Here is a 27,669-nt window from a genome sequence, read left to right on the forward strand (position 1 = left end):
GGAGCACATAGTTTCCTTGTGCTTTTTAATAAGATGGTTTAATTGAATTGTTACCTGTTGAAGTATTAAAAATTGCTTTTATAAACTGCTGAAATGATAAAGAACGACAGCTTGAGCTCTCCAGATAATAATCTCATTCAATCTGTGTTTTTAAAATCTGTGATTTGACAAGTTTCATAGGAGCAGGCTTTCTGAATCGCCATTTTAAAAATTAAGTGGAAACTCATTAGTGCAAATTATATACAATGATTTTAAGCCCCAGGAGGCTAACTCTGTGTACATATTGAATAGTCATTTGTTCTTGGTTTATTGTAACTATAGCCAATTAAGTTCATTGTAAAAAAAAAAAAAAATCACATTTGTAGTAAAATTGGTAAAATGTCTTGAAATTTAACAGTTTGACATCTCAAAGCACATATAATTTTGGAATATCTGGCAACCAATGAGATTGTATGTTTCTGATTAGCTTTGTCCATCCACTGTTTCATCCATTTGCCTTTTTTCTGTTTTTGCAGATCTGAACAGAATTAAGACGAACGAGCTTTCACAATTGCAGCAGATGAAGATCCATTGGTAAATTGATCAGGATTTTTGGCCTACCCTCCAAAGAAAAGGTAACTGGCTGTTCTGATATCGCAAACACAGTTGAATAAATATAATGCTTCCAGTTATAATAGAGTTTGAGTTTTACCAAAGGATGATAGTTTATTTTAAGGCATCTGTGTAAGATCTCAAATGTTAAATGTAATCCTGAATATGATCTTAGAAAAATAAAATGACAATGAGTTTAGGAGTATGATATTATTAGGTATTTGTTTCTCAACACAAAAACTACTAAATAACATCCCCTCCAAATTTGTTAAAATTGCAGGAAGACTTTAGTTATAGAATCCTCCTTCTTTCCCAGTCTATACCCACTTTTTTCTGGAAGTTATCCAAAAGTGTGCTCTTGTTTCTTTCCAGCACCATTCCCCCAGCTCCTGTTTTCTTGTCTTTCCATGTAATGTAGACCCAGCTGCTTAGGGCAGGGAAGATCATCAGCAAGACTGTAAAACAGGCAAGCGTTCTTCAGGAACACTTTCTGGGCCCATTGCCTTTGCCCAGGCTGACAGACAGCTCTGTGGTAATGAGTAGTCTCTGATCATTACAAAAATAGCAGCCATCATTAATGGAGTGTCTTTTTTTTTTTCTTTTTTTGAGACAGAGTCTCACTCTGTTACCCAGGCTGGAGTGTAGTGGCATGATCGTGGCTCACTGCAACCTCCACCTCCTAGGTTCAAGTGATTTTTGTGCCTCAGCCTCCTGAGTAGTTGGGACTACAGGTGTGCACCACTACACCTGGCTAATTTTTGTATTTTAGTAGAGATGGAGTTTTGCTATGTTGGCCAGACTGGTCTCGAACCCCTGACCTCAAGTGATCCACCCGCCTTGACCTCCCAAAGTGGTGGGATTTCAGGCATGAGCCACCAACGCCTGGCACATTAATGTTGTTTCTCACTGCATGTCCACCATTGTACATTTACTGTTTTGGGAGGATAGTGGTGAAGTTTCACATAATATGAAGCAGGAAATTCCTGGAGGAATTTTGATTTAAAAAAACAAAAAGGGCTGAGTACAGTGGCTCACACCTGTAATCCCAGTACTTTGGGAGGCTGAGGTGGAAGGATTGCTTGAGCTCTGGAGTTTGAGACCAGTCTGGCCAACATAGCTACACCCCCAACTCTAGAAATTTTTTTTTTCTTTTTTTTGAGACCTTTTCTTGCTCTGTCGCCCAGGCTGGAGTGCAGTGGCGCCATCTCGGCTCACTGCAAGCTCCGCCTCCTGGGTTCACGCAATTCTGCCGCCTCAGCCTCCCGACTAGCTGGGACTACAGGCGCCTGCCGCCACGCCCGGCTAATTTTGTTTTTGTATTTTTAGTAGACACGGGGTTTCGCCGTGTTAGCCAAGATGGTCTCGATCTCCTGACTTCGCGATCTGCCCTCCTCGGCCTCCCAAAGTGCTGGGATTACACGCGTGAGCCACTGCGCCCGGCCTAAAAAAAATTTAAAAAATTAGTCAAGCACAGTGGTGCATGTGTATAGTCCCAGCTACTCAGGAGGCTGCAGCAGGAGGATGGTTTGAGCTCAAGAGCTTGAGGCGGCAGTTAGCCATGATGATGCTGCTGCACACCAGCCCCAGCGGCAGCAAGACCCCATGTTAAAAAACAAGCAACAACAACAACAACAAAATTATTCTCCTACTTCTGAAAGGAATGAGATAACCTTTAAGTTAAGGTGCAGTTTAAGATGAGTCATTAAAGACTGAAACAACAGAATCGAAACAAGGAAGACGAAAGGAGTTTCAGCCTCTGGAATCAACTATCTTACATACTTAGGCAACAAATGTGATGCCACAATCAGGTTTTAGGCAACTGTAGCAAAAATGGTAGCATTTCAGACAACACGTAAAAGATAATATTTTTACCATTACCAATCTGAAACAACTTCACAAAAAGTGTTTTAGTACTGTTGAGATGTTTGAAAGAACAAGAGTTTGGGGAGCTATGAAGTCTCCACCTTAAAAACAGCCTCTTAAAATGTTCTGGACTAAAGCTGAAGGGCCATAATGCAGAGATGTCTTTCAGTGATCGTTGAAGTCATCACGTTGAATGTTGTTCATTGTATCATGTCTGCAAGGTGCCAGAGAAGAGAGAAACAGGCTTTCCTGTGTGGTGTCCAATCACTGACAATGGAGGGGTATGGGGAGAAGTTAAGAGGAAACATGTTTGGCAGAATGCCAGAGGAGCTCTTTAGTGCCTGTTTATGGAGTTTCTACTGTGTGCATGGGGATTGTCCCTGGGAGGAAAAGGAGAAGAATAGGAGGTGATTTACATGGACTGCAGTGATGACCTAATGCTTTTTTGAATATTATACCAATGAAAAGATTAATATGATGCCAGGAAGTAAGTGACCAAGAAGCAGAGAAAGAAGAGGAGGCACAAGTTCAAAAGTCTGTAGAGGCCAGAGAGACCAGAGAGGGGAATAAAGTGAGCCAGGTGGAACTGTGAGAAACCATCCGGTCCATGATCCATCTAATGTGGCAATCCCTTCTCAGCAGCAGATTGTAGGCCCGATATCTGTTCATTCAACAAACATTTATTGGGTGCCAACCTATGTGCTATGTTCTCTTATGGTCACTGGGGATAAATTAGTAAATCGAAAGGACAAATATCCCTGCCATTGAATTGGCACTTACCTTTTTTTCTTAATTAACAAGTAAAAATTGGATATGTTTATCATGTACAATGTATTCTTTTAAAATATGTATTCATTGTGGAATGGCTTAAATTAACTAATTTAATAGCTAATTAACGTAGGCATTACTTCTCATACTTATGTTTTGGTTGTGAGAACCTTTATCTAGTCTCTTTGCAATTTGCAAGAATACAATACATTGTTATTAACTATAGTAAGCATGTTTTGCAGCTGAGTTCTTGAACTCATTCTTCCTAACTGAAATTTTGTACCTTTTGACTAACTTTCCCTAAACCCCTCACCTCTATCCTCTGGTAACCACCATTCTATTCTCTACTTCTATGAATTCAACTTTTTAAGATTCCACATATAAGTGAGATTGTGTGCTGTTTGTCTTTCTGGGCCTGGCTGATTTCACTTAACATAATATCCTCCAGGTTCATCTATGTTGCTGCAAATGACAGGAGTTCTCTTTAAAAAAAAACAAAAATAGAGATAGGGGTCTCGCTATGTGTCCTAGGCTAGTCTGGAACTCCTGAACCCTGGCCTCAAGTGTTTCTCCCACCTTGGCCTTCCCTCCAGAGTGCTTGGATTACAGTTGTGAGCTACCATATCTGGCTGGATTGCCTTCTTTTTAAAGATTGAATAGTATTCCATTGTGTGTGTGTATAACACAGTGGAATATTATTTAGCCATAAAAAAGAAGGAAGTATTGATAACATGTTCCAACATGGATAAACCTTGAAAATGTTTTATTAAATGAAGGAAACCAAACACAAAGACCACATATTATGTGGTTTCATTTAATATTCAGAATAGGCAAATCCATAGAGACAGAAAGCAGATGTGGTTTTCGGGGGTTGGGGAGGGAATGTGGGCAGTGATTGCTTGATGAATACAGGGTTTCCTTTTGGAGTGATGAAAATGTTCTGGAACTAGATAGTAATGTTGGTTGTACTACACTGTGAATGTACTAAATGTCATCAAATTGCACACTTAAAATGGTTAAAGGCCAGTTGCAGTGGCTCATACCTGTAAATCCAGCACTTAGGGAGGGCGAAGCAGAAAGACTACTTGAGTCCAGGAGTTTGAGACCAGCCTGGGCAACATTTGAAACCCCGTCTCTATAAAAAAAGTACAAAAATTAGCTAGCCGTGGTGGCATGCGCTTGTAGTCTCAGCTACTTGGGAGCTGAGGTGAGAGGATCACTGGAGTCTTGGAGGTTGAGGGTGCAGTGAGCCGTGATTGCACCAGCTGGATTGCACTTGAGCCTGGGCAACAGAGCGAGACCCTGTCTCAAAGTAAATAAATAATAAAATGGTGAAAATGGTGAATTTCAGTTATGTGAGTTGTATTTAAAAAATAATGGCATTTAGAAAGACTTTCAGAAATGTGTACTTTATGTCTTGGACATGAGAAGGTGGTTTAGCTAGAGTGGAGTCTTTGTAAGGGGGAGCGGTGGATGCTAAGGGTGGGAAAAGGTTTGGCTAGATATTGAAAGATATTGACTGGCTAAGGAGTTTAGCAGCTATAAATATAGCACCATATACTCCATGAGGAAGAAGGAAACTCAAGAGAGGTTGGTGCTCTGGGAATCCCAGCTAAAGATGAAGTTTCAAGCAAAGGAAGTGACTTGTAGTTTTATCAGTCCATGCCGTTGCCACTCACCTAACAGAGTTTTGTGACAATCTCACAAAAGTTTCAATATTAGTTTAGAGTTTCTTCTTCAAAAAAAAATCTTTATAAAAGGATAATCATCTTTTAAAATAATCATCCTGAATATAAAACTATGTTGATAAAAAATCTAAACATTATATAAATATATATGCTAATAAAAAGTTCCTTTAAGTTTAAAGAATTAAAGCATCTTTAATTCTTTAACTCCTTGCTTCTCATATGGTAAATCTAGAGTTATCTAGATTGTTTTTTGCATAGACTTATCATCATCATCATCATCATCATCATCACCACTTTTTCACAAAAATAGGCACATGTGGGCCGGGCACGGTGGCTCACGCCTGTAATTCCGGCACTTTGGGAGGCCGAGGCGGGAGGATCACGAGGTCAGGAGATTGAGACTATCCTGGCTAACATGGTGAAACCCCGTCTCTATTAAAAATACAAAAAAATTAGCCGAGCTTGGGCCTGTAGTCCCACCTACCCCGGAGGCTGAGGCAGGAGAATGGCGTGAACTCAGGAGGTGGAGCTTGCAGTGAGCCAAGATTGCGCCACTGCACTCCAGCCTGGGCAACAGAGCAAGACTCCGTCTCAAAAAAAAAAAAAAAAAAAAAAAGGCACATATGATTCATAGTATTTTTTGCATGTTTCTTTAGAAAATGTTTATCTTGGCTGTCATTGCACTTCTTTCGTTTGGACCATTACATTATATGCTATTTTATTTGTAAAAACAAACAAAAAGTTGAAAAGTAACGGCCACATACCTCTATTAGAGAATGAATTGTTATAAAATGTGAAAGTAGCTAACACACTGAGCACTTAATATGTGCCAGGCACTATTCTGAACATATTAATTTATTGACTCTTCATAAGCTGATGAGGTAGATATTATTGTTATCTTCCTTTTGCAGAGGAGCTAACTGAGGTACAGATGAAAAAATTATCCTGCCAACGTCCAGAGTTAGGTGGTGGCAGAGATGGGTTCCAGGACCAGCTTCATCTCCAACTCATGTTCCTATGAGGAATGCTGTGGCTGGTGGTGTCAGATTTTACTTAGGATTTTTTCAAGATAAGTCAATCTGGAATTTTTTGTGAAATTTTCCAAGTTTTAATGTTGGCTTAAAAAATAGCTTTATTGAGATGTAATTCAAATGCCATAAATTTACCCCTTTAAACTGTACATTTAATGGTTTTTAGTGTATTCACAGTATTGATTGTATAACTGTTTCTTCTATCTAGGTCAAAAACATTTTTAGCACCCACATTGGAGACCCCATCGCATTCCTAAGCAGTCACTCTCCATCTTCTCTTCCTTCAGCCTCTGGAAACCACTAATCTGCTCTCTGTCTGTATGGATTTGCCTATTCTGGCTAATTCACCTAAATGAAATCAAATAATATGTGACCTATTTGTCTTCTTTCATTTAGCATAATGTTTTTAAGATTTATTCATGTTGGAGCATGTATCAGTGCTTCATTTTATGGCTGAATAATTTTTTTTTTTTTTTTTGAGATGGAGTCTCACTCTGTTGCCCAGGCTGGAGTGCAGTGGCACAATCTTGGCTCACCACAAGCCCCCCCCACTCCCCCGCCAGGTTCAAGCGATTCTCCTGCCTCAGCCTCCCAGGCAGCTGGGATTATAGGCGTGCACCACCATGCCCAGCTAATTTTTTTGTGTTTTCAGGAGAGATGGGTTTCACTATCTTGGCCAGGCTGGTCTTGAACTCCTGACCTCGTGATTTGCCTGGCTTGGCCTCCCAAAGTGCTGGGATTATAGGTGTGAGCCACTGCACCTGGCAATAATATTCTTTGTAGAGATATATCACAATTTGTTTATTCATTTGTTGATGTACATATGGGTTGTTTCCACCTTTTGGCTTTTAGGAATTACACTGCTAATGAATATTAGTGCTCAGGTATCTGAGTCTCTGCTTTCAGTTCTTTTGAGTGTATACCTAGAAGTGGAATTGCTGGATCATATGCTAATTCTGTGTTTAACCTTTTAAGTAACTACCACTGTTTTCCACAATGGCTGCACTGTTTTACATTCCTGCCAGCAATGTATGAGGATTCCAGTTTTTTCATATCCTTGCTAACACTCTTCATTTTCTGTTCTTTTGTTGTTGTTTATTACAGCCATCCTAGTGGGTGAGAGGTGGTATCTCTGATTTAGATTTGCATTTCCCTAATGACTAATGATATTGACCTTCTTTTTTTGTTGTTGTTGTTAATTTACTGGGCTGCGTTCTTTCTTTTCTACATTCTAGTTCAAGTCCCTTATCAGATAAATGATTTGCAAAAATGTGTAGGTTCTGTGGGTTTTCATTTTCTTGATGGCATCCTTTGAAGCACAGAAGTTTAATTTTGATGAAGTTCAATTTACCCATTTGGCTCTGTTTTCATTCTTTTTTAATTTAATTTAATTTAATTTTTTTTTGAGACGGAGTCTTATTCTGTCGCCAGACTGGAGTGCAGTGGCACAATCTGGGCTCACTGCAACCTCTGACTCCCTAGTTCAAGAGATTCTCCTGCCTCAGCCGCCTGAGTAGCTGGGATTACAGGCACGTGCCACCACGCCCAGCTAATTATTGTATTTACAGTAAAGACGGGGTTTCACCATGTTGGCCAGGATGGTCTCGATCTCCTGACCTCGTGATCTGCCTGCCTCGGCCTCCCAAAGTGCTGGGATTACAAGTGTGAGCCACCGCACCCGGCCTTGGCTCTGTTTTTAAAAAGAAATACCTGGTAAGTCAGATTCCAACCCACTAATTGCCCGCTTGTGATTGCTGCTTTGCTGCCACTGCCCCAGAAACCATTTGGAAAAATCCTCATGCTTTTTGAAAATACCGGTTTTCTGAAGAGATGGAGCAAGCTCTGGAAGGCAGGAAAGGCAGATTTCTCACCAGGAGCAATTTTGTTTTGGTTCCCCTTTTCTACTCCTGAAGTTCCTTCACTTAGAACACCTTGATGTAGACGTGGGGGCATAGTAGGAAGTGGACAGAGGATCAAGGTCTCCAGGTCTTGAAAATTTTATGTTTATCAAAAGAGAATATTGGTTAAAATAAAAGATTAAATTGGTGAAAATAAATATTTGTCTTGAGCCATAGATGATGTCATTTAAAATCAGAATGGCCATAAGAGTGTGGTTAGTAATTGTGTGTTTCTAGGAAGAAAGGTTTATGAACCAGTACACCTAGAAGTCATCTGGGGTAAGGTCTTACCCTTTATATTTCTTTGAATGTGTACTTGGGAGGAGAGGAGGACAGGTAACTGTATTCATTCATAGTCATTCATACACATTAGTGAAAAATAGTTAAATCTGCAGGCCTTTACCTCTACCAAGAAAAGGAGAGCTTTACTTTGGAGGTGGAAAGGGAGTGCAAGTTTTTGTGGAACAGTCTGTCTTTTGAGAAGCAGTACAAACCCAGGTAGGCTCCTGGATCACGGTGCAAAGACAGAATGTGGGAAAGTCAAGGGTGTCATGTTTGCTGGATCTATAGCTTTGCTTAGAGCTGGACCTTGGCTGAGGAAAGGAGGAAGAAGCATTTGTGTTGTTCCTTCCCTCTTATACTAACACACCTGCATTGTTCGTCCTAGGTTTCACCCCAAAGGCATTTTGCTGACCAATTTGGAGACATGGTTACAACTCGTCTTATGGTTTGTGGGAAAGTGGGTTCCAGGTTCTAAATAACACCCTTATGTTGGGAATGCAAACTGTTGATCTCTGGGAGACTAAATGTATGTCTCATTGTCACCTTGATTTCAGAGCATATACTCTTAACTCTGAATCCATGAAGTCCTGTGATATAGAGGTGGGGATGAGTTCCCATGTATGTGCTTAGTGAGAGGGTTCAGGAAAGAGTTTGTTAAAGAAATGGAATTTGTGGAAGAACTTTGATTGAACAGCAGGATTTCTGCCAAGGGAGGGAAACTGTTAAAGATGGAGTGTCCTATATGAGCAAAGGCTTGGGAACTGGGAGTTGGATGGGGTTGGGGTGGGGGCATGTTTGAAGTTCTGAATTTGTCATTTGGGCTAGACCATAGACTACCTGCAGGAGGCAACTGAACAGTGTAGAAGTGGTGGAGCTGAGGCAAGGGCAAACTGTAGAGGACCTTGAATGCTAGGAGAGAAGTTTTTATTTATTTTATCCGTCAGTGGGGAGCCCCTAAAAATGTTAGAGCAATCACTAACATGGCTAAAGCCATAATTCAGCAAGATTGGTCTGATAGTATAGCGTACATAGATTAGAATTAGGGCTTACTATGTGACAAGCATGGTGCTAATAGTAATAGCTGACACAGTGTGCTTTTTTGCACTGTAAATTTCTTAATGTTCTTCATAAAGTAGTTACTCTTGTTTTACTCATTTTATAGATGTAGAAATATGCACAGAGAGGCTAAGTGATTTCCCCAGAGTTACACAGCTCGTAGTGGTAGAAGTGGGATTCAGCCTGGGCAGATAGGCCCTAGAACCCACGCTCTTAATGGCTGAGCCCCCAAAAATGGTGATATTTACAGCATTGTCAGTACAAAGGTACATGGGAAATTACGTTTAACAATGTGTTTAACCTGCATTTTATGGTAGCTGACGCAGTACACTAGAACTCTATACAGTCGACTTCCTTTTATAGCTGAATATTGGTCCAACTTTTCCATTCCTTGTCTTTTTTTTTTTTTTTTTTTTTGTAACAGGGTCTTGTTCTGTCATCCAGGCTGGAGTACAGTGGCACGATCTCAGTTCACTGCAGCCTCAATCTCCCAAACTTAAGCAGTCCTCCCCCTCAGCCTCCCGAGTAGCTGGGACTATAGACACATGCCTGCATGCCTGGCTGTATTTTTTTTTTTTTTTTCAGTAGAGACTATGCCTCACTGTGTTGCCCAGACTGGTCTCCAACACCTGAGCCTTGGTCCCCCAAAGTGCTGGGATTACAGGCATCAGACCATCACGCCTGGCCTCCATTCCTTTTCTATAACTTGAAACTTTCTATTTGTAAAAAATTCCTCAGCCGAAAGACTTTAAATCAACATTTCAAATCAAGTTCGTCATAAAATTACAAGCCAGTTTTAAATCCCTAGAAACACTGGGCATTACTAATTACCTTTTATATTATAATTTATTATTACCTTTTATATGTGTATTTTCAAATTTTCTTCTCTTTTCAAGCAATTTGCTATTACTGGTGAATGTTTCTTTGGGAGAGTTCATATGTACATGCAAACATATGATTAAGAAAACAATCCAAAAATTTAAGGGTTTGAGATGTTTAGCAAATGATGCATTTTACTATAGAATGAGTATGTGTACAGGTTGAGTTTTCAAAAAGCTATTTATGTCTTATCTTTTAAGTCCTCACTCTTGCAACTTTCCTTATTATTCCTAATTTTGCACTTGATTGCTATGAATTCCAGCCACTAAGCTGATGAATTCAATTTACTCTTTCCACTGTTCTCCCTCTACTGGAATACTGATATTCATGACAAGCTGTAAGGTACTTCACTAGAGGGAGCATAGTTAAGGAAAGGCATGCCCCTTGTGCAGAATACAGCCCTGGCTCTCTCTGGAGAAGAACGAGGAAAGGGGAAAGATGTAGTCAGAGGAGTGAGAGAGGATTTGAACAAAGGCTCAGCCAATTTTAGGAAGATAAAAAGAAACCAAAGCCAACACATTCCTAATTTAGTGGATCTGAGTTTCTTGTTACTCAAATGACTTCAGTCCTTTGGGGTTGATAATGGAGAATCTCTGTTACCAACCCTGTAATTTACACAGATAAGTATACTGTAGTTAACTGCTTTTCAAGTTTATTAAAATGTTGTACTGGGACTGGTGGTTTTTTCCAATTGAAGACGGTTGTGTGGGATCTTGTATCTTAGAAATGTTTTGGGTAGTTTTAGCCTTTTTACATTAAACTGGATTTAATGTAGGAAAGGTCAACTTTTTGTTTTGTTTTGTTTTTGTACATTGTGATACCTTTGGCCTTGGAACAAAACATTTTATGAGTGCAAAGAATCCTTTTTGTAAAGAGAGACTTGTTAGCCTTGGCATCTACTGAGAACATCCCTAAATTTGGGTGACGAGATAAGACCACATTTTAAATATGTCCTTGGAAGGGATGAAATGCACAGAATTAGCAGTACTTCACCTCTGACAGCCCAGTTCTTAAGCCATAGACAATCTAGTTGGTGGTGACAGTTTTGATGAATTGTTTCCCCTACTTACTACTTTTCTCACATACTCAGTGAAATTACTATCTTGTGTTCACCCTGGTGCCTAGTAGAGTGCCTAGTCTGTAGCAGGCAATCAGGAATTGTTGGATAAATTGAATACTCATTATTCAAGCCATATAAAATGAATTATTACTTAAGTTTTCAGACAGTGAAGTTCCTCAGAGTTACAAGGCATCATCAGAAATGCACTGGCAGAAGCACTGATTGATATTATACAGGCATAATACTATATTAAAATAACATATTAAGTGAATGTAAATTGTATTGGCCTGGTGTGGTGGCTCATGCCTATAATCCCAACACTTTTGGAGGCCAAGGCAGGAGGACTGCTTGGGCTCAGGAGTTTGAGACCAGCCTGGGCAACATAGTGAGACCTTGTCATCTCCACACACACATACACACAAAAAAAATTTATACACAGTTATATTCTTTTTATAATTTGGTGGTATGGAAAGGGGATTATCTAGGTAAGAGGTCATCAAGTTCTTTACTGTGGGACTGTAGGTAATACAGCTAAGTATTGGGTTTCTGTTGTACTCTTGTTTATAAACAGTATGCTTTGCATAAGGAATGCTTTTAAAAGTTGCCAAAATTCAGATATCAGATGCAGTGTGTCAGCTTGCTGTTTTGACTTTTTTTGGTGACTCATTCCAACTTTAAGGAAACTTCTAACGACTATGGATATCAGAACATTTCTAGGAGTTAGGACTTTTTTATGGGTGAAGAAAGAGTGGGTAAAATGCATTGGCTGCAGCAAAAGAGAACTGGTTGAAGAAATACCAGGAAATGCCCGTCAATCTCTTGTCTGCACATCCTCTTCAGTTTGATAGTAAGTTTCCTAAGGGATTGAGCTGAATTGCTCAGTTTAATATAAGACACTTATTTATAGTGCTTATTTATGAGATTCCTCAATAATTGATAGCTTGCTATTAGTTTTGAGTATTGAGGTACTCAATAATTGGTAACTGCTATTTGTAATAATTTCCCTTAATAACGATCATAATGCCAAGAGGATACTTAATATTTTTCATTTTAAGCCCGCTTGTGTTTTATTAAACCAATCAAAAACTTTGAAGAAAAAAAGAGGTATCAAGCAGGAATTGGGAAAGAAGTTGAAGTACTCTAAATTGCTGCATTGATCCCCATTGGCTAGAAGTCATATTAGTGAATCTTGAAGTAGTTTCACATCCAAAAGAGGAAAGTCAAGCAATGTCTTGAGGAAGTAGGACCATACTTCATGTTTGCCATTCTCCTTATTTTTGTTCTCACTCTGTAGTTTCAGGGATCTGAAGAGCTGTACTCAACAAGCAAGCTCCCTTTGTTATCTATATGGCTTGGTGGCCGCAAGCTTTTCTTTTCAATGGTAGCTTCAAATGCCGTTAAAATCCAAATTTTCGTTTTTCTTAAGTGTAGAATTTCACAATTCCAAGTAATAAATTGTGTACTTTAGGAAAACAGAGGTTGGGTGTTTTCATGTAATTATTCAGATTTTGCAGTGATTTGGAATGAATGAAAAATTGAAAATCTGCATAGGGGTCATCTAAGCTATGTTAAAAGTTAGAAGGGAACTCTATTCCTGTCAAGGGAATTATATGTTTTACTCCTGTGCATTTTTCTCATTGATAGTCTTATGGAGGAAGTTAAAGCTGTAGAAATGATTTTTAAAATTAAATCTTTCCAATCATTTCTACTATTTTGGTTATTTTGATAAGGACAGGAAGTAACCATGGTTTCACTTTTTGGACTTGTTTGCACGCAATCCAGGAAAAAATTTTACAGACTTATTTCTAAATCTTTCTAAAATAAAAATGTGTGTGTGTGTGTGTATGTGTAAGTATGTGTGTGTGTGTGCGCTTTTAAATTTTGAACCCCAAACCCTCTCTAGCAATCCCACCTTATGTTTGGGTTGCAGTGACATTTCTTTATTAATTTTTATGCTTATGTAAACTTCCTGTGTTTCTGCAAGTTGGACCAACAAAGAAGTTGGCTACCTCTGTCACATCAGATGTTTGAGGTACAAAAAAAAAAAGAATTCCACTTCCTCCCCATCTAGTCAGAGAAAGCACTTGTGAGCAAGCATCTCTGACACACATTACAGGAGTTGATACTACTGCAGTGTGAAACATGCGTGAAACATGCTGATAAGAATCACTGTTTTTGTCTCAGGCTTCAAATTTTCACATCAATTTGAGAAAATAGTAATATCAACAATTATTGAAAGTGGTGTGGTCTGCTACTGTTTCAAGTATTTTTAATGCTTTAGGTCATTAAGTAGCCTTTTATTTTGCCATCTGTAGCCTATCGCTAAGCAAATGTTGTGTATGTTGGGGAGGGGTGCTAAGTTTTGCGGGCCAATGCTTAATTTAGTGAACAAAATTTGACCGAAAACAGTATTTTCTAAACATGTTTTGTAGGAATTCCTTATATTCTCCTAATCCCTAGGGTCTCGTCCTGCCCAAGAAAAGACAACCATAAAGAGGGAAGGACTAACAACTCAAGTTAAAAATGAATCAGATTTTTACTTTTGGGGTGAATGAATCACTTCCAGAAACTTGGGGTGGTGCCTCTAAAATATGTACACGGGTTAAAGCTTCTCTCGGTTTGTTTCACTCTCCTCCATTCCCTCGCACACTGATCTCATGTTCTCTCTTTGCTGGACGAATTCAAGTTCCCCAGGCGCACAGTGTGACTTCCAATTGCGGGTCGGGGGCACACATGTGGGCGGCGTGGCGTGCACACGGTACTTCGTCCTGACACCTGGGCAGACACCTGGGAGGCACTTCCCCGCTAGCCCAAGGTTCCCTGCACGCCCGGAGTCCGCTCTGCGGCGGCTTCCCATTCATGCTTTTGACAACTCTGCGGCCGCCCGCAAGCCGAGGGCAAAGTGCCCCCTGCACCAGCCTCTCCCGCGCTGCCCTGGGGCCGGCCGGCCGGCTCCTCCATAGGTGGCTGCATTTCCGACTTCGCCCTGGCTCCAGTCCGGGGGCTTGACGTGCAAACTTCGCCGGAGCGAGCTGAGAGGGAGGGACCGGCAAGTGGGAGGAGGCGGCGGGAGGCGTCTCCGCTTAAGGGAGCCGGCCGGGTGCCGCCGCTCGGACGGACGCGCGGACGGAAGGAAGGAGCGGGGCAGCCGGGCCGGGCCCGGGGATGCAAGCGGCCGAAGGGTGGGCAGCTGGAGGTCCTGGGGTGCGGCTCGGGCTTCCCCGCGCGGGCTGCCATGGTGGGGCGCGGGGTTGGAGCCGGGCCGCTCCGGCGCTGGCCTCCGCGCCAGGTCCTCTGAGCAGAAGCAGGCAGGGGACCCAGCGCCGCGGTGGCGGGCCGCCTGCTGCCCGTCCCCTCCCTCGGGCGGCCGCGGGAGTCGAAAGCGAAAGCTAGCCCGCGCCGCGGACTTTGAGCCCGGGGCGGGGGGTGGCCTTGAGGAGGCGGGCTCGGGGGGCTGGGCGGCCATGGGGGCGCTGTCAGCGTGCCCCACCCGGTCCGCGGGCCGCGCACGCCGCCGGAACTCCCTGGCGCCTCCTTAAAAAACGGCCCCCGCGCGACTCTTTCCCCCTTTTTTTTGTTACATTGTAGGAGCGGAAAGAATGTCGGAGCGGGCCGCGGATGACGTCAGGGGGGAGCCGCGCCGCGCGGCGGCGGCGGCGGGCGGAGCAGCGGCCGCGGCCGCCCGGCAGCAGCAGCAGCAGCAGCAGCAGCAGCAGCCGCCGCCTCCGCAGCCCCAGCGGCAGCAGCACCCGCCACCGCCGCCACGGCGCACACGGCCGGAGGACGGCGGGCCCGGCGCCGCCTCCACCTCGGCCGCCGCAATGGCGACGGTCGGGGAGCGCAGGCCTCTGCCCAGTCCTGAAGTGATGCTGGGACAGTCGTGGAATCTGTGGGTTGAGGCTTCCAAACTTCCTGGGAAGGACGGTGAGTGTCCACGCCCTCCTCCCCCCTTCACCCCCTCGCGACCCCCTCCTCTCTCCTCCCCTCCCCCCTGCCCCCCTCCTGTGACCCGCCCCCTCGAGGGGCAGAGATGCTATCGTTTGCTGGGTTGCGGAACGCGGAGGTGCCCACACCTACCCCGTGCGTGCGTGAGTGTGCGTCACACTCCTGGCCACTGACCTGCCTCTCCCCTCCTCCTGTGTGTGTATATCTCCTAGGGACAGAATTGGACGAAAGTTTCAAGGAGTTTGGGAAAAACCGCGAAGTCATGGGGCTCTGTCGGGAAGGTGAGTCCAGCCCCCCTGATGGAGTTTGTACAAACCCCTGGGAAGTTTCATTGACAGTTCACTGGGACCGGGAACATCAGCCCACCATACCGACTCCCCGACTCCCCGTGCCTGCGAAGATGCTGCCTGAGGAGGGAGGGAGGGGGCAGAGCGCTTGGAAAGTTTGGTTTGGGGGCCTCCTGTAATGAGAGCGTCCGGAATCCTTCTGTGACCAGGCAGGAGCAGCATTATTGGTGATGAGCGCTGGGAACCGGCGGGAAGTTTAACCTAGATCTCTGCATTTCTGACCTCCTTACGGAGAAACAGGAGTAGAGGAAGGAATTCTCAGCTTTGAAACCTTTCCACGAATGCTTAGGGGACATTTTCTGTTGGCAATCGAAACGAATTTTGAACTTAAAGAAGATGCTTTACCTATGCAGTCTTATTTCTGTAGGATTTAAGGTACAAGTTGGGGATGTTAGAAAAAGGTCATCATAACCCGGAGTGCATTTTGGTCAGATTTTTTGCGAGCTGCCAATATCACGGGGGAAAGAAAGCCAGAATTTTATTTGGTCAAATAAGCCTTTACTGCCCGTGGCTGGTGAAATCAGGGTCTAATTATTTGTTAGTTTTAAACTGTTTGGTAAAAAGATACACTAGGGAAATAGGGTATGCCTCCAAATGAAAGTCAGGCCAGGTATCTGGAAAGTGTCAGACTTTTTCTTGAGATTTTCTTTTTCTTTGAATAGTAAGCTTTTGTTGTCTAATACCTGCACTAGGCCTGGGCATACCGTGGTCAGAAAGGACTTCTGAAGTCCAGTGAACTTCGGGTTCAGTTTCAAGTTATTCTTTCAGTGAGTTAGGACAAGGCTTTGAGTGAGGTTTGGCCCCGGAATACTGAGTTTATAGTCCCCGAATGCAATTTTATTTCTCACTCGTAGCCATTTATTTTGCAGAATTGTTGTCTATGGCCCAAGGATAGGTAGAACTTTGGCAACTGGAACATTTTTAAGTCCAAAGTTTGCCCATTGTTACTGTCTTCACATTTCCTTCTCGCTTTTCACACCTGCTTTTTCTTCACTTAACTCTGTTTCGGTTTTTTTGAATTGGGCGCTTTTTGGCCTCTTGGCACTCGGAGGAAGAGTAATACCAGTGACAGCCCGATGAGAGCTTCCAATTGGAACAGATTATAGAACAAATTAGTTGATTTTTAAAATGAGAATTGCTATTTGAGGGTAAAGGAAAGCAAGGGAAAGCACAGGACTTGTTGATGATGTTGCAATATGAAAAATCAGTTGCTAGTCCGGTTTTAGTGCTGAATTGGCAGCCTGCCTGGGCTTAAAAAATTAAAATCACTAGGTGGCAACTCTCACAGTAAGCAGTTAGAGTAGAACTTTAGAGGACCTGACCTACTCTTGTTCTTAGTTTTCATTCTCTGGGTGTGGATACATATCCTATAAAACGTTTCTAAATCTGTGTGAAAACAAGATTGTAATTATCAATAATTCTGCTGTAAAGGATGAGTTAAGTGTATTAATGTTTCAGTGGGTACCTTGAGCTGGACAGGGACCCAACCAAATTAAGGGGACTGTACCTCATTTTTGCTAGATATATTATTTTCTGTTGGGATACTTTTATCAGCATGTTTTTCATGAAGAACTAAGACGTTAAACTACCTACTTGAGGCACAAAAGGGACATGGATCTTGTTAGTGTTTTGTTTTGTTTTTTGAGACGGAGTCTCACTCTGTGGCCATGCTGGAGTGCAGTGGTGCGATCTTGGCTCAGTGCAACCTCCACCTCCTCAGTGCAACCTCCACCTCCCAGGTTCAAGCGATTCTCCTGCCTCAGCCTCCCGAGTAGCTGGGACTGCAGGCGGCGGGCCACCACACCCAGCTAATTTTTTGTGTTTTAGTAGAGAGGAGGTTTCACCACGTTGGCCACGATGGTCTCAATCTCCTAACCTCGTGACCCACCTGCCTCGGCCTCCCAAAGTGCTGGGATTACAGGTGTGAGCCACCGCCTGGCCCTTGTTAGTGTTTTTTAAGGGTTCCCCTCCTCCCCCTTTTAAAGTTGTTCTAACCATTTAGAGGATGCTGTAGCTACCAGGCCACTTGGAACGTACACCTGTCTGAGTTGAGACCGAAGTTTTAAATTCAGTCAGTTCTTCATTTGTTTGTGACTTTGCGGATTATGTGGGGATATTTTAAAATCCAAGTTTGAGGATGTTCAGCACTCACTCAGTGGACCTTTATGTTCTCCTAACAGACCATTGTAGGCTGCTTCAGAAATGAAAATACATTTAATATTATCAAAACTTATTAGACTATTATTCATTCATTGTCTGCTTAAAATTATCAGCTACCAAGAAAAGATGTTTTGAAGTTGAATCCATACTGATTCCTCTTGTTAAATTGAAGAAATATGTAGATAAATTGATCATGTGAGTGAATCACTGGAAGTCAGAAATGACCCTTTATTTATTTTTTTTTTTTTTTGAGACGGTGTCTGACTGTTACCCAGGCTGGAGTGCAGTGGCAAGTTCTCGGCTCACTGCAACCTCTGCTTCCTGGGTTCAAGCGATTCTCTGGACTCATCCTCCCTTGTAGCTGGGATTACAGGCACGCACCACCACACCTGGCTAATTTTTGTATTTTTTATAGAGATGGAGTTTCATTCACCATGTTAGTCAGTCTGGTCTGAAGCTCCTGACCTCAGGTGATCCACCCGCCTCAGCCTCCACGAAGTGCTGGGATTACAGGCATGAACCACCACCCCCGCCAGAAACTCCTCATCTTGAAATATCTCTAGGAATATGCACTTGACTTGAATTCTCCAATGTGCAATTTTGGACCTAGGGGTTAGAAAGCCTGGATGTGAGAGAAAGCTGCTTAACCTTGCATTAGTTATTTCATCTTTCTGAATATACTTTCCCTCTTTGGAAGATAATACTACCTACTTCCCAAGGTTATTGTAGGAGCTGAAATTAAATTAGATAATATGTGAATGACTCAGTACACACTAATTCCTTTTAACTCTTTCAACTGTTGATAACCTGACTTCTTAATTCTATATTTCTAGGTACAGGGTTTTAAAATCTGTGACCTTTGAAAAGGCTTCAGGGGATTGTAGTTCCCCTGAAATTGTATGCAAAATAATATGTCAGTTTTCTAGGGTAGGTGTTCACAGCTTCCCTTGGATTCTCAAAAGGATCATTTACACGTCCCCACCCCTAAAATTCAAAACTGCTAAGCTAACCTCTCTGCCTGTTTTTTCTTTTCACTTTTTCCTCTTGTAACACATTACTTTGACCAACTCCTATCAGGCAAGACTACCCAAGGGTTAATGCTGTGGCAGAAGGTTGGAACTCTTGATTTAGATGGAGGGAAATTATTTGTGGTTTAGGTAGTAAACCTACCCAAGGCAAGAATACCCAAGGGTTAATGTTGTGGCAGAAGGTTAGAACTCTTGATTTAGATGGAGGGAAATTATTTGTGGTTTAGGTAGTATATCATTCCCTCTTCTGCCATTTGGCACAAGTAGGCAAATGTTAAGACAAAATTTGGTTATTTTTCAGAGGTCAACCTAGTTTTGTTTGCATTCTTGTATTTGTATTGCCTTATTCTTGTTCTGTAATTTGCAATATTAGTTGTTAGCATGATTAATTTTGGTGGGAAGAAATTGGTAATACATTTTGACTTTTTGTTGTTGTTGTTGTTATTGTTGTTGAGATGGAGTCTCGCTGTGTCGCCCAGGCTGGAGTGCAATGGTACAGGCACGATCTGTGCTCACTGCAACTTCCGCTTCCTGGGTTCAAGCGATTCTCCTACCTCAGCCTCCCAAGTAGCTGGGATTACAGGCACCTGCCACCACGCCTGGCTACTTTTTGTATTTTTAGTAGAGACGGGGTTTCACCATGTTGGCCAGCCTGGTCTCGAACTCCTGACCAGAAGTGATCCACCCACCTCGGCCTCCCAAAGTGTTGGGATGACAGGTATGAGCCACTGCACCTGGTTGACGTTTTTGAAATGATTAAACGTCAACCCTGGTTGATGTTTTTGAAATGATTAAACGTTTTTGAAATGATTAAGACAAATTACTGCTTTTTCCCCCAAGGTGATTTGTGAAATTCCGGACTTCCACAGATTTTGGATTTGTGAAAGTTAACAAAATTATGTTTAGATTGAATTAATTGGTACTAATAACTGATTAGGGTTTCTATATTAGTGCCTGAATATTTAGAGACCCTTAAAAAATAAAAACTTTAAATGCCTTAGTTGCACAGCAGATTTTAAAACCTATATTGTGTCATTGTAGGAGTCAACAATGGTATTGGGAAAAATGACATCTTCTTTGGGAAGCTGTCCATAACTTCTCTAAGTCTAACCGTTGTGTGGTATCAAAGTACTCTGTACTTTTTCTTTCTGCATTCTACGTGTCAGCATTTGAAACTCTGCATTATGTGATGGCTCCTTGTTAAGAGAGTAAGTTCCCTGAGGGCAGGAGTGTTGTTGATGAAGGCATATTCAGCTCCTGCACACCATTGTGCTCAGTAAATATTTGCCCCAAAAGTGGATGAGTAGAGCTACTAGGAAGATTGAATTGAGTCACTCTAGTGTGTGATTCAAATGACCAATTTTTCATTGTATTGTGACTCCAAAAGAAGACAGTATTCTGTGTGTTTGTGTGTTTAGGGGGTGTTGCTGTATGGCCCCAGGGGAGGCCAGAAGGTTTCAGCACTTTTCGTTGCTCTGTCCTTAATATAGTGCTCCATTTACACTTTCCAGAAAGGGTACAGACAGGACATCACCTCTCTTATCTTTGATATTTAGGCAAAGAAGTAGAATAGCAACCCAGTGTGATGTCCACACTTGATGACAGGTTATTTCCTTCTCATAATTAACCTGAACGTGATTGAGCCTGGGGCAAGATGGAAAAGTGTGTGGTTAGCACCTGTAGGCAACTAGAGTTCAAAACAAACAAACAAACAAACAAACAAAACAGGCTTGCTAGGAGTTGGATAGCCTCAGTAAACACAGACTGAGTCAACAGAGTACCACCTTTTTTCTTTCCTAGGGGAAAAAAATGGTTCATGGTTAATTAATGGAAAACAGGTGTTTGTGAAGTATTTTACTGTTAAAGGTACTACATTGTGGGTATAATATCCTCTCCCTTAAATAGCATTTCTGTTTTTCTCTAGGGTTTCTTTTGTCTTCTTTTCTCCTCAACTGTTTCTTATGAACAATTTGAAACATACAAAGTAGAGAAAATATTTTAATGATCCTCCTTGTATCCATCACACAGTTTCAGCAAATAATGAGTCATGGCCCAGTCTTGCTTCACAAACTCTGCCCTACTCCCCACAGTGAATTATTTTGAAGCATATCATTTCTTTTGGTTTTTATTTTCTGCTCACATGGACTTCAACTTATTTCCTGCAAAATGGAGGCTTTTTGTGTTCTGCACCTTTCTTTTGAGGCAAGTCAGGCTACCATCCCTGATCCTCTCTGTGGGTGTGTAAAGGTTCTGCAGATGGCAGTACTTGCAGTCTGCTTATATCTTATGTGCAGATATAAACCAAGCCTCAGACAGGAATCGGTAAAATCCAAGTTCCCTGCCTCAGCATCACCTCGTGCTTGTTGAACATTAATGCACATGTAAGGAGCAGTCAGGTGATTTGGTTACAGATCGCCCACACTTAAGAAACACCTCCATAGATGAGAATCAGCGTGGCCGTGACAGTGGGCATTGTCCTTGCTGACAGCTCCTGTGCGTGTCTCCTTCCTTGTAAGCTCTTCACTAACGCGTAGGTGCAGGAACCCCCAGAGACCCAGAAAGACCCTCCTGTAGCAGGGACTTTTCCCCAGTTGCAGCGTGTGGGCCAAATCTTGCCTGCATGGTTTTTGCATTGCATTGGTTGGAATAAAAACTCAAAAGATTTCATGACATGTGAAAATTATATGAGACTTCAGTGTCAGTGTCCATAACTAAATTTTATTGAAACGTAGTGACGGGCATTCATTTACTTGTCTGTGGCTGCTTGCTGCATACAGTGAACAGCAGAGTTGACTACACACAACAGAGACCATATGACCCACCAATCCCAAAACACTTACTATTGGTTCTTTACAGGAAAAGTTTGCTGACCACTGTTCTGATGAATTCCTTGGTTGATAAAAGGAAACCCAATCTGCAGAATCGCAGAATACAGTCTTATTATTCTTGAACTGTCTATTTTGAAGGGGAGAATCTTCAAAATAATAAAATCCGTTAGTCTTAAACCAAGAGTTCATTCAATATTAAAGAAACATGTTGAGTTAGAAGGAAATAATGGAGAGTAGAAATGGTTTCACATAAGAAGGTTGCTGTCTTTGTCCACTTTTATCATTCACTATCTTTTTTTTTAATTATTATACTTTAAGTTTTAGGGTACATGTGCACAATGTGCAGGTTTGTTACATATGTATACATGCGCCATGTTGGTGTGCTGCACCCATTAACTCGTCATTTAGCATTAGGTATATCTCCTAATGCTATCCCTCCCCCCTCCCCCCACCCCACAACAGTCCCAGGTGTGTGACTTTTTTATGGCATACACCTGGTTGGGAGCAGTTCACATACAGAGCACGAATAGCGCTGTTATTGCCCCAGCTTCCAAGAGCCATGGACCATGAGAATGGTGCTTGTGTTCTGTTAAGCCCCTCATGGTATGTAAATATGCAAGAGAAAGAGTCCAGAACTTTCATGGAATTTCCATTCAAATTCTCCAGAATCGCTGCCCCTGAGCTGGTTTAGAGAAGCTGAAGCCTTGTTACAGGTCTTAGGAGTTATAGGAAGAATTCACGGGGAAACAAATCTGCATTTTGATTGGAGAAGAAGGCAGACGTTGTTCTTTAGGCCCCATATCTTTATAATTTTGTGCTTACTGGAAAGTAACACCTGGCACAATCCATGCTGAATTTCTGAACCCTCATGTTTCGCAATTCATGGAGACCATGCACATGTTTCCATGTGCACAGTAGGATGGGGTTCCCAAGCTGTGTCCAATTTACAGTTTTGATTGGTTCTTGTAAACTCTAATCTCAGGAGGGAAGTATGAGGTATTTATAAATCACAGTCCTGTGATCTAGGTATCACCATTATCTCCATTTTACAGATGAGGAAACTACGACTCAGAAAAGTGAGGTAGCCCGCTAAGATCACAAAGCATGTAAGAGGCCCTGTAACCCAGATCTGTCTAATTACTCCACAGCTCACATGCTTAACCATTCTGCTGTTCCGAGCCCTTTCCAGAATGTACATGGCTTTTCATGAGCTTGAGCAGGTCACCCTAACCTTTGTTTTTCTTATCCTTGTCTAGAAATACTGACCTTTACCAAAAGCCATTTTTTTTAAGTAAAAATATCAGAGCCTTTTCTTGCTGTGCCTTACAACAGTCGGTGTGTTGTATTTAGTTGTTCTTTTATAACATTTTTTCTTTGAGGGGGAGGGGAAGTATCTACAGTTTGCATTAGAAGTAATGGGCTTTTTAAAAAAAGATTAAATGAAAGCTAAGGTTGCAGCAGATAGCAAACACAATCATCTGGGATTTGTGCCATTAAAAAAAATTCCTTTAGAAAGGGAGAAGTGAAATTTCACTATTTAAATAGCATTTCAGTGCAAGATTGCTTTTAATCACATTGTTGTTGAAAGTTTTTATTGCAGTATTTCTAATAAATGTGCCCCTCTGATTATTAAAGTATTTTTTGATTGAAGTTCTAAGAAAAAGAAGCCTGTTAGTAGACTTAGCAGTTGGAGTTACTGTACTTTTGAGAAAAAGGCAGAGGGTTACATTTATATTCATCTTGTACAGCAGGGATTATAATAAATGAGCAGAAGAAGGAGAACGATTTTTGCATTTCACCCACTCATAACGTAAAACTAGATTAAGTATTCTTGTTCTTCTTTGTAATAAAGACCCTGCTAGCATGAAATGTTTTTTTCTCTTATATGTAAGCATATGGCAAGGAAAAAGCACTAGTTCATTATCAATTAGATTCACAATCTTAAAACAGAAACTATTTCCCTCCCAGGTTATACAGATGTTTTCCATAATCCTGAACTCCAGTCATGCAACAGAAAAAAAGGTAATGCTTTTAACCAGTGGTCCCCAGGCTTTATATTTCAAACAAGAAAGTTTCAGAAATAATTTGGGGACTCCAGACATACGGTTGTTGGCAATTTATATGTACTTCCCCTCAAAAAAGTATGAGAACATTGTTTTGGAATAAAGGACAGTCCTTTAATTGTGAAAAAGCACTGTGGTCTTCGCAGAGAAGAGTATCTATTTTGGTGTTTGAGTACCATAGCTTTAAATCATTATTTCCAAAAGCGTGTTCCAGGGAACCCTGTTTCTGTGTGCTCTTGGTTGGTGTTATGCAGAAAAGAGGTTCCATATGGCAAGTTTGCAGAAGTTAGCTTTACACAGAGACAGTTCTGGGAACCCCAGTTCTAGAATTAAGCCTGGGCTCAAATCTAAGATCTAGTAGGTGAGCAATTTGAAGGAAACCGCATAGCTTTACTGAGCCTCACTTGACTCAGGTATAAAATGAGAATAATGCTAGTAACTAATAGGGGTTGGGAGAATTAAATGATATAATGCAGGTTATCAGTAATGAAAGCACAGTGTCACAAGCACGCCTTTAATCAAGTCATCAGCCAGGACTGTCAGAGGAGCAGCAGAAAGTGAAATGCCAGTTTTGCTTTAGCACACAAGGTGTAGGCAGTGAGAGGAAACTCTGGCATGACAGAGTGTAGCAAATGAACCGCAGTTTTTTTCTTTTTCTTTTTTTTTCTTTTTTATTCTTTTGAAACAGGGTCTTGCTGTATTGCCCAGGCTATAGTGCAGTGGCATGATCCATGGCTCACTGCAGGCTTGACTTCACTTCCTGGTCTCAAGCAATCCTCCCATCTCAGCCTCCTGAGTAGCTGGGGCCACAGGTGCACACTACCATGCCCGGCTAATTTTTGTATTTTGTTTGTAGAGACGGGGTTTCACCATGTTGCCCAGGCTGGTCTCAAACTCTGGAGCTCAAGAAATCCTCCCACCTCAGCCTCCCGGAGTGTTGGAATTATAGGCATGAGCAATCATGCCCAAACCTCAGTTTCATGCCTTCTTGGACTCTAGTAAAAATGGGAAGTGGGAGGTGACATTTCTTAGTTCCTCCTTTAGCCACCTCTTTGACTTGCAGAGAGAAGCATGATGTGGGTATTTACTTTTTCCTGCTTATGCAGAGTTGTACTTGCTCATCTTCTGGAAGCCTGTAGTTTGTGCTTCTTTATGCTGCTGCTTGTAATGTTTTTCAAACCCCCTTTTTTCTGGGCAAAAAAGGTAAATTATAGGCAATGTAATAAAGTCATCATGAAGGTGGGGAGTGGATCAGAAAGATAAATGAGGATCCTACTTACATGATTTTTTTAATGTGTGGTGATAGTCATGGGGGTTTTCTGCCTGTAGAGGGAATTTAGAAAATTGCCTTTTCAGTTCTTGGAAATTTCCAATTTAACTTAGCAGTTCTTCACTTAAATTACCTTGTTCTTTTTGGAAACTATATAGGAAGATTGGTTTTAATGGAAAAAATTATTACAGAAGTTAATACATGCTCACTGTAAAGATTTTACTAATAATAGAAGTATGGAACACAGAAGCCATCATTCTGTGTAATCCCACTCTGGGCCAATTTTGTATTTTCAGTTACAGGATTTGGACTTAGGGCAAATCACACTCGATCAAGGACACCTATGTAACTACTTTGGGCAGTTACTGGTAAGCAAAACTGAAACTTGCCAACCTGGTCATTTCACTTTCTGACCAGTTTCAGACCGTGTCCTTTAGTAGGCCTCAGTGTATTTTGTTTATTTTGTGATTACTGCCTTGAGAATCCTCTGACTGTTTTGCCTTAACTTCACTCATTTAGCTTTTATCCCATGTTCTCTGGGCCTCATGCTAGGCTAGATAAAGTCTGAGGATACAACTCCACAGAAGGTGAGAAAGCACAGTCCTAACTCCCAAGTCAGGCAGTTGGTCAGCAGATACTTAAGTGCCAGGTTTTCTGATGGGTGTTAGGGATAGAGTGACACAAATCAGATGGAGCCCCAGCCCTCTAGGGAAGTGAGATACAGTAAATACACAAATATTTCCAAGGACTGTTGAATGCTGTGAAGTCAAAAGTAGGGTAATGAGTTGGGGTTAGGGGGATTCTAACTAACATGATCAAGGAAGACTTTTCTAAGCATTTAACATTTGAGCTGAGACCAGAATGCCGAGAAAGAAGTAGCCACAGGCTGGGCGTGGTGGCTCACACTTGTAATCCTAGCACTTTGGGAGACTGAGGCGGGAGGATCACTTGAGTTTAGGAGTTTGAGACCAGCTTGGCAACATAGTGAGACCCCATCTCTACAAAAAAAATTAGCTGGTCATGGTGACCTGTAATCCCAGCTACTCAGGAGGCTGAGGTGGGAGGATCACTTGTGCCCAGGAGGTCGAGGCTGCAGTGAGCTGTGATTGCGCATACTGGACTCCAGCCTGGGCAACAGAGCAAGACCCTGTCACAAAAAGTAAAAAAGAAAGAAGCAGCCATCAGATCATCTGGAAGGGGCACTCTGAGAAGGGAAGGGGGAGGAATGTAGGGAAATAATGCTGACAAGGTTAGACTGTAGAGGCCAAGGAAAGGAATTTGGATTTAAGTGTAATGAAAGTTGGGGGGATAGTTGGTGGTTAGGGGTAGCTTCAGCAAGGGAATGATCTAATTCATGTTAAGATCACTGGCTAATATGTGGAGGGACTGGCTGACCAGGTTAGAGGTAATAGTGGCTTGGACTTTGCTAATGGCAGTGGTAATGCAGAGAGGTTATCCTGTTCAGGATACGTTTGGAGGTGGAGTTTACATGATTTGATGAAAAATTGGATGTGGATGAGGGAGAAATATAAGAATTGGGATTTGGGGCTTGAGCAACTGAATGGTACCACTTAATGAACTGAGGAATGCTGGCGAATGTGGGAGACTTAGGGTCAGCAGCTCTGATTTTGGCCACACTGCTTTTGACGTACTTAGTGGGCATTCATGTGCGGCTGTGGTGTCAGCAGTTGAATACACAATCTGGAGCATGGTGGAGCAGTCTGGGGTGGAGACTGGGTCAGTCTGTATCCTCAACATACAGAGGACATGGAAAGTCGTGGGACCTAGGTTTGTTTCCTAATATAGGAGTGTCAATAAAGAATCCATTAGGGCCAAGGGCTGAGCCTTGGGTCCCTCCACAGTGAGGTGGTGGGTGGGCGAGGAGGACTCTTCAGTGAGGCAGTAAGGAAACCAGATGAGTGTGATGGTGGTGAATCTGGGAAGAGAGAAGAACATGCTTTAAGTGAGGAGTGATGGTCTCTGTTATATGCTGCTGTGAAGTAAAGTCAGGCCAGAGAATCGATCTCTGGCTTTGACAGTATGAAGGTCATTAATGACCTTAATCTGGAGAGTTGGGGAGGCAGAACCCTCATTGTATGGGGAAGTGATAGCCTGAGCTGAAGAAGTGGAGAGGGCAAGTATGGACAGCTTTTTAAAGGGTTTCACTTTGAAAGGGGATTGGAGAAATGAGGCAGTAGCAGGATGAAGACATGGGGTAAAGGATCTAAGGGAATGATGAGGAGGTTTGTTTTATTTTATTTGGATAGTATTAGGGAATGTTTGTCTGCCACTGGGAATGATCCAAGAGTAAGGGATAATTGGTCACATGTGAAAAGAATTGATAATCACAAGTATAGTACCTTGAGTTGGAAAAAGGAGATGCAACTCAGAGTCCACATGGACAGGCTGGTTTTGGATGGAATCAGAGACTTTATCACATTCTCATGAGAGGAAAAGCATATGGATTCAGTTGCAGGTAGGGATGTAGAATTGTGGAATAAGATGGTTAGTTCATTCTCGTCATTTCTGTGAAGGAAGAGGGAAGTTGGGAGATCATCTGTTCACAGTAAGAGGAAGAGTTTTGTCTTCCTTTTTAAGTATCCAGTCAAGGATACAGGGATACAGCCAAGTAACAACAGACATTTATGCATCCTTTGTAGTAGGGATCCCCAACTTCTCGGCTGTGGATCAGTACCCGCCTATGGCCTGTTAGGAAACAGGCCACACAGCAGGAGGTAAGTGGGGGTGGGGGACTGAGCATTACTGCCTGAGCTCCACGTCCTGTCAGATCAATGGCATTAGATTCTCATAGGAGCACAAACTCTGTTGTGAACTGTCCATGCCTGGGATCTAGGTTGCGTGCTCATTATGAGAATCTAATGCCTGATGATCTGAGGTTCCCCTGACCCCCC

General features: G+C 42.2%; 1 protein-coding gene and 1 non-coding gene across 7 annotated transcripts in view, besides 5 other annotated features; one reads left to right on the plus strand and one right to left on the minus strand.

Moving 5' to 3' along the window:
• Positions 1-27,669, plus strand: part of ATXN7 (ataxin 7) — a 140,319-nt gene that overhangs the window by 34,740 nt on the left and 77,910 nt on the right. For 3 of the 6 annotated variants that reach the window (NM_001377405.1, NM_000333.4, NM_001177387.1), the window contains 3 exons: positions 516-614; positions 14,705-15,040; positions 15,274-15,342. In NM_001377405.1, the coding sequence (NP_001364334.1) occupies positions 14,716-15,040; positions 15,274-15,342 (394 nt within the window). In that variant the 5' untranslated portion in view covers positions 516-614; positions 14,705-14,715. Of the gene's footprint in view, positions 1-515; positions 615-2,675; positions 4,568-5,821; positions 6,315-14,228; positions 14,299-14,704; positions 15,041-15,273; positions 15,343-27,669 lie in introns of those variants that run through there. The other 3 variants (NM_001377406.1, NR_165270.1, NR_165269.1) reach the window with 3 other exon arrangements.
• SCAANT1 (SCA7/ATXN7 antisense RNA 1) lies at positions 13,629-14,500 on the minus strand. Its single transcript, NR_148359.2, has one exon.
• Positions 13,769-13,848: an enhancer, noted in NCBI's record as "active region_20031". NCBI's record gives its function as "activates an Ori minimal core promoter by ATAC-STARR-seq in GM12878 lymphoblastoid cells {active_cell/tissue: GM12878}" and the evidence as "EXISTENCE:reporter gene assay evidence [ECO:0000049][PMID:35858748]".
• Positions 14,179-15,018: a silencer, noted in NCBI's record as "silent region_14501". NCBI's record gives its function as "represses an Ori minimal core promoter by ATAC-STARR-seq in GM12878 lymphoblastoid cells {active_cell/tissue: GM12878}" and the evidence as "EXISTENCE:reporter gene assay evidence [ECO:0000049][PMID:35858748]".
• Positions 14,802-14,833: a tandem repeat, named in NCBI's record as "ataxin 7 repeat instability region".
• Positions 14,803-14,832: a repeat instability region, noted in NCBI's record as "repeat instability region; expansion of the (CAG)n trinucleotide repeat is associated with spinocerebellar ataxia type 7". NCBI's record gives the evidence for it as "EXISTENCE:polymerase chain reaction evidence [ECO:0000082][PMID:9288099]".
• Positions 24,118-24,217: an enhancer, noted in NCBI's record as "active region_20032". NCBI's record gives its function as "activates an Ori minimal core promoter by ATAC-STARR-seq in GM12878 lymphoblastoid cells {active_cell/tissue: GM12878}" and the evidence as "EXISTENCE:reporter gene assay evidence [ECO:0000049][PMID:35858748]".

This window comes from Homo sapiens, chromosome 3, assembly GCF_000001405.40.
Source record: "Homo sapiens chromosome 3, GRCh38.p14 Primary Assembly".
In the NCBI taxonomy this organism is placed as follows: domain Eukaryota; kingdom Metazoa; phylum Chordata; class Mammalia; order Primates; family Hominidae; genus Homo; species Homo sapiens.